A 6,526-nucleotide genomic window follows, 5' to 3' on the forward strand; every position below is an offset into this window, starting at 1 on the left:
GAGATCGAGACCATCCTGGCTAACACGGTGAAACCCCGTCTCTACTAAAAATACAAAAAATTAGCCGGGCGTGGTAGCGGGCGCCTGTAGTCCCAGCTACTCGGGAGGCTGAGGCAGGAGAATGGCGTGAACCCGGGAGGCGGAGCTTGCAGTGAGCCGAGATCGCGCCACTGCACTCCAGCCTGGGCGACAGAGCGAGACTCCGTCTCAAAAAAAAAAAAAAAAAAAAAAAAAAAGAAACCACTACCATACCCAAGGTCATGTATATTTTCTCCTATGTTATCTTCTGGGAGTTTTATATTTTTGCCTTTCGCATTTCTGTTTATGGTTACTTTTGCATTAATTTTTGAAGGATATAAGATCTGCTTCTAGATTTATTTATTTTTGTATATAGATGTTCAATTTTTCCAGTGCCATTTGTTGAAAATACTATCATTTTCACATTGTATTTCATCTGCTCTTTTTCCTAAAGACCAAATAATTTTATTTTTGTAGGTCTATTTCTGGACTTTCCATTATTTTTAGTCTATTTTTCTGTTTGTTTTTTTCTTAATCATTACCACATTTTCTTGTACACTTACTGCAGATTTATAGTAAGTCTTAAAGTCGCATAGTGTCATTCCTCCAGTTTTATTCTTATTCAATATTGAATTGTTCATATCTTAGTGGTAAAGCTTCAGTGTTTTAACAATAACAAACGTGCCAAAGGTGAGTTTTTAAAATAGATAGCTTCATCTCTTAGACAAGGTCCATTCCTGGTTTATTGAGAATTTATCATGAAATAATATTGAATATTATTAAATGCTTTTTACTGGGTCTATTGAGAGGATCATGTGGTTTTTATCTCATTATTTATAATGGCTTATTACAATGATTGATAATTGTACATTGAGACAAACTTTTATTCCTTGAATAAATCCCACTTTGTAGTGGTATATAATCTTTTTATATGTTGCTGGAATGTGACTTTCTAATGTTTTATTGAGGATTTTTAATTTACATGTATGAGAACATGGGTTTGTAGTTTTCTTTCCTTGTGATGTCTTTTGCAGGTTTTAGTATCAAGCAAAAGCAGGCCTCATAGAATACATTTTGAAGGGTTCCCCCATTCCTATTTTCTGAAAATATCTGTGAAAAATTGACATTAATTTTTCTAATTAAATCTTAGTTATATGAATTAAATATTCTTCAAATATTTGATAGAATTCACCAGTAAACTCAACTGAGCCTGGGCTTTAAATTGTTGGAAGTCTTTTCATTACTAAATGAATCTCTTTCACTGTTGTAAGTCTATTTTTAATGGTTCTTAATTTTTTATTAATATAGAAGAGATGTACATATTTTGTGGGTACATGTGATGTTTAGACATTCATCTAATGTCTAATTACAAAATCAGGGTAATTGGGATATCTATCCCATTAAACTTTTATTTTTATGAATGTTAGGAACATTTGAATTATTTACTGTTTGGCATTTTAAATATCCAATAAATTGTCATTTATTATAGTCACTCTGTGATTTATCAAACACTAGATTTTTTTTTTATCTAACTGCACTTTGTACCCACTATCAACCTCTCTTCACTTCCCTTCTCCCAACCCTTCCTGGAGGGAGTGGCAATGTACTCCCTGTCTTCATGAGATGCACTTTCTTAGCTCCCAAATAGGAGTGAGAACATATAATCTTTGTCTCTCTGTGCTTGCCCAATTTCACTTAATATAACGACCTCCAGTTCAATCCATATTGCTACAAATGACAAGTTTTTATTCTTTTTTATGGCTGAGTAGTATTCCATTGTGTATATATACAAATTTTCTTATCCTTTCATCCTTTGATGAGCACTTAGGTTGATTCTACATGTTTGCTACTGTGAATAATTTTGCAATAGACATGGGAATGCAGATAAATAGATTTTATTTATTTTGGTTGTATACCCAGTAGTAAAATTGTATGGTAGGTTTTTTGTTTGTTTGTTTGTTTGTTTGTTTTTAAGACAGGGCCTTGGTCTGTTACCAAGGCTGGAATGAAGTGGTGCAATCTTGGTTGACTGCAACCCGTGCCTCCTGGGTTGAAGCAATCCTCCCACCTCGGCCTCCCAAAGTGCTGGAATTATAGGCGTGAGCCACCACACCCAGCCCAGATGTTAGTTCTATTTGTAGACTGTGGAGGAAACTCCTTACTGTTTTTCATAGTGGTCAGGCTAATTTACATCCTTACCAACTGTGTATGAGTGTCCCACTTTCTCCATATTCTTGTCGGCATTTGTTTTTTTGTTTGTTTGTTTTTGTTTTTTTTTGAGACGGAGTCTCGCTCTGTCGCCCAGGCTGGAGTGCAGTGGCATGATCTCAGCTCACTGCAAGCTCCGCCTCCCAGGTTCACACCATTCTCCTGCCTCAGCCTCCCGAGTAGCTGAGACTACAGGCACCCGCCACCACGCCTGGCTAATTTTGGTTTTGTATTTTTAGTAGAGACGGGGTTTCATCATGTTAGCCAGGATGGTCTTGATCTCCTGACTTCATGATCTGCCCTCCTCGGCCTCCCAAAGTGCTGGGATTACAGGCATGAGCCACTGCGCCTGGCTTCTTGCCAGCATCTGTTATTGCCTGCATTTTCGATAAAGGTCATTTCAACTGGGGTGAGATGATTTCTCACTGTGGTCTTAATTTTCATTTCTCTGATGATTAGTGATGTTGAGCATTTTTAAAATAAAGCTGTTAGTCATTCACGTGTCTTTATTCAGGAAATGTCTACTTAGATTTTTATTATTTATTTATTTTGAGATAATGCCTTGCTCTGTCACCCAGGCAGGAGTGCAGTAGCATAACAATGACTCACTGAATCCTCTACCCCCAAGGCAAAAGTGATTATCCCACTTCCATCTCCCTAGTGACTGGAACTACAGGCGCATGCCACCATGCCTGGCGAATTATTTATTTTTATAGAGAAGGGATCTTACTGTTGCCAGGGCTGGTCTCAAACTCCTGAGCTTAAGTGATTATCTGGTCTTGGCCTTGCAAAGTGTTGGGATTACAGGCTTGTGCCATCATGCCTGACGTTTTGCTCATTTTTAAATTGCATCATTTATTTATTTTGCAAATGAGCTATTTGAGTTTCTTTTATATTTTGGTTATTAAGCCTTGGTATATGAAGAGTTTGTAAATATTTTCTTTTTTCTTTTTTTTTTTTTTAGTGAGACAGAGTTTCGCTCTGTCGCCCAGGCTGCAGTGCAGTGGCACAATCTCGGCTCACTGCAAGCTCTGCCTCCCGGGTTCACACCATTCTCCTGCCTCAGCCTCCCGAGTAGCTGGGACTACAGGCACCCACCACCATGCCCAACTAATTTTTTCTATTTGTAGTAGAGACAGGGTTTCACTGTGTTAGCCAGGATGGTCTCGATCTCCTGACCTTGTGATCCGCGTGTCTCGGCCTCCCAAAGTGCTGGGATTACAGGCGTGAGCTACCGCGCCCGGCTTGTAAATATTTTCTGCGCTTCAGTGGGCCATGTCTTCACTTTGTTGATTGCTTCCTTTGCTGTGTACAACTTTTTATCTTTATATAATCCTGTTTGTTAATGTTTGCTTTGGTTGCCTGTACTTTTGAGGTCTTACTCAATATATCTTCCTCAGACCAATATCCTGGAGCAATTCCTCAATGTTTCATCTAGTATTTTTATAGTTTGAAGTTTAGATTTAAGCTGTTAATTCATTTTGATATGATTATTGTATATGCTGAGAGATAGGGGTCCAATTTAATTATTCAGCATATGATTATACAGTTTTCCCAGCACAATTTATTGAAGAGACTGTCCTTTCCCCAATGTATATTCTTGGTACCTTTGTCAAAAATGAGTTAGGTATAAATGCATGAGTTTATTTTGGGTTTCTGTAATGTATTCCATTAGCCAATGTGTTTGATTTTATGCAACTGTGATGCTGTTTTGCCAAAATAGTGTATTTTGGCTCTTCTGGGTCTTTTGTGGTTTTATATAAATTTTAGAATTTTTTTTAACTTTTCTGTAAAGAATGTCATTGGCAATTTGATTGGAATTTTATTGGCTTTATAGATTGCTTTGGGTACTGGATATTTAATGAATTCACTTTTTCTAATCCATGAGCATGGAATATCTTTCCATTTTTTTGTCAACTATTTTCCTCAGTGTTTTATAGTTTTTCTTGCAGAAATCTTTTATTTATTTGGTTTAATATCTTTCCAGGTGTTTTATATTTTTGTAGCTATTTTAGATAAAATGGCTTTCTTGATTTCTCTTTCAGATTGTTCATTGTTGGCATATACAAACACTACTGATTATTCTGTTGATTTTATAACCTGCAACTTTGTCGAATTTTAAAAATTAATTCAGGGTTTTCTAAATATATGATCATGTCTTCCAGGAATAAAGAAAATTCGACATCTTCCTTTTCAATTTGGATGCCCCTTATTTATTTCTCTAATCTGATTGCTCTGGCTGAGATTTCTGGTGTTTTGCTGAATAAAAATGGGGAAAGTGGCAGAAAAGCCTTTCAATTTTTCCTTATTCAGTATAATGTTAGCTATGAGTATATCATATATAGCCTGTACTCTTTTGACCTATATTCCATCCATACCCATTCTGTTGAATGTTTTTATAATAAAGGAATATTGAATTTTATTTTATTTTATGTTTTTTTAGAACCTATTAAAATAATCTTTTTTTTTTTTTGTTCTTGGTTCTGTTAATGCAATTTGTCACTTTTATTGATTTGCTTATGTTTAATTATCCTTGCATCCGTGGGCTAAATCCCATTTGATAATTGTGGATGGTCTCTTTAACATGTTGTTTAATTCGGCTTGCTGGTATTTTGTTGAGATTTTTGTGTATATGTCAATCAAGGCTGTAGGGCTGTAGCTTTCTTTTTCCTTTTTTTTTTTTTTTTTTTTTTTTTTTTTTTTTTTGAGACTGAGTCTCGCTCTGTTACCCAGGCTGGAGCGCAATGGTGCAATCTCAGCTCATGGCAACCTCCTCCTCCCATGTTCAAGTGATTCTCAGTCTCCCAAGTAGCTGTGATTACAGAAGTGCACCACCATGCCCGGCTTTTTTTGTTTTTTCTTTTTCTTTTTTTTTTCTTTTTTTTTTGAGACAGAGTCTCGCTCTGTCGCCCAGGCTGGAGTGCAGTGGCGGGATCTCGGCTCACTGCAAGCTCCGCCTCCCGGGTTCACGCCATTCTCCTGCCTCAGCCTCCCGAGTAGCTGGGACTACAGGCGCCCGCCACTACGCCCGGCTAATTTTTTGTATTTTTAGTAGAGACGGGGTTTCACCGTTTTAGCCGGGATGGTCTCGATCTCCTGACCTCGTGATCCGCCCGCCTCGGCCTCCCAAAGTGCTGGGATTACAGGCGTGAGCCACCGCGCCCGGCCTTTTTTTTTTTTTTTTTTTTTTTTTTTTTCTGAGACGGAGTCTCGCTCTGTAACCCAGGCTAGAGTGCAAGTGGCGCCATCTCGGCTCACTGCAAGCTCCGCCTCCCAGGTTCACGCCATTCTCCTGCCTCAGCCTCCTGAGTAGCTGGGACTACAGGAGCCCGCCACCACGCCTGGCTAATTTTTTTGTATTTTTAGTAGAGACGGGGTTTCACCGTGTTAGCCAGGATGGTCTTGATCTTTTGACCTTGTGATCCACCCATCTCGGCCTCCCAAAGTGCTGGGATTACAGGCGTGAGCCACCGCTCCTGGTCATTTTTGTATTTTTAGTAGAAAGGAGATTTCATCATGTTGGCCTGACTGGTCTGGAATACCCAGCATCAATTGATCGGTCAGCCTCGGCCTCACAAAGTGCAGGGATTACAGGCGTGAGTCACCTGCTCGGCCATGACCTGTAGCTTTCTTTTTTTGTTTTGCCCTTGTCTGGTTTTGGTATTAGGGCATTGTTGGATTCAGAGAATGATTTAGGAAGTATTGCTTCCTCATAAATTTGTTTGAACAGTTTGAGTAGAATTGGTATTAGTTCTTCTTTAATTGTTCAGTAAAATTCAGCAATGAAGTCACCGGGTTCTGGGATTTATTTTTTTATTTTTATTTTATTTTTGGGGAGACATTTTACTACTTTTTCTATCTGATATGGTTTGGCTGTGTCCGCACCCAAATGTCAACGTGAATTTTATCTCCCAGAATTCCCACATCTCGTGGGAGGGACCCAAGGGGAGGTTATGGAATCATGGTGGCTTGTCTTAATAAGTCTCACAAGATCTGATGGGTTTATCAAGGGTTTCTGCATTTGCTTCTTTCTCATTTTCTCTTGCTGTCTCCATGTAAGAAGTGCCTTTTTGCTCCCGCCATGATTCTGAGGCTTCCCCAGGCATGTGGAACTGTAAGTCCGTCCAATTAAGCCTCTTTTTCTTTCCAGTCTCAAGAATGTCTTTATCAGCAGCATGAAAATGAACTAATACACTCTCTGATTAATTTTTATTGGTTTGTTCCGGTTTTCTATTTCTTCAAGATTTAATCTTGGTAAGTTTTATATGTTAAACAATTTATTCATGTCTTTCAGGTTTTC

At 38.3% G+C, this 6,526-nt stretch overlaps 1 annotated feature.

Moving 5' to 3' along the window:
- Positions 2,040 to 2,215: a silencer, noted in NCBI's record as "fragment chr6:67768818-67768993 (GRCh37/hg19 assembly coordinates)". NCBI's record gives its function as "represses an EF-1alpha promoter that drives an FKBP-Casp9 reporter gene in an ReSE screen in K562 erythroleukemia cells {active_cell/tissue: K562}" and the evidence as "EXISTENCE:reporter gene assay evidence [ECO:0000049][PMID:32094911]".

The sequence above is a fragment of the Homo sapiens genome, chromosome 6 (genome assembly GCF_000001405.40).
Source record: "Homo sapiens chromosome 6, GRCh38.p14 Primary Assembly".
Taxonomy (NCBI): Eukaryota; Metazoa; Chordata; class Mammalia; order Primates; family Hominidae; genus Homo; species Homo sapiens.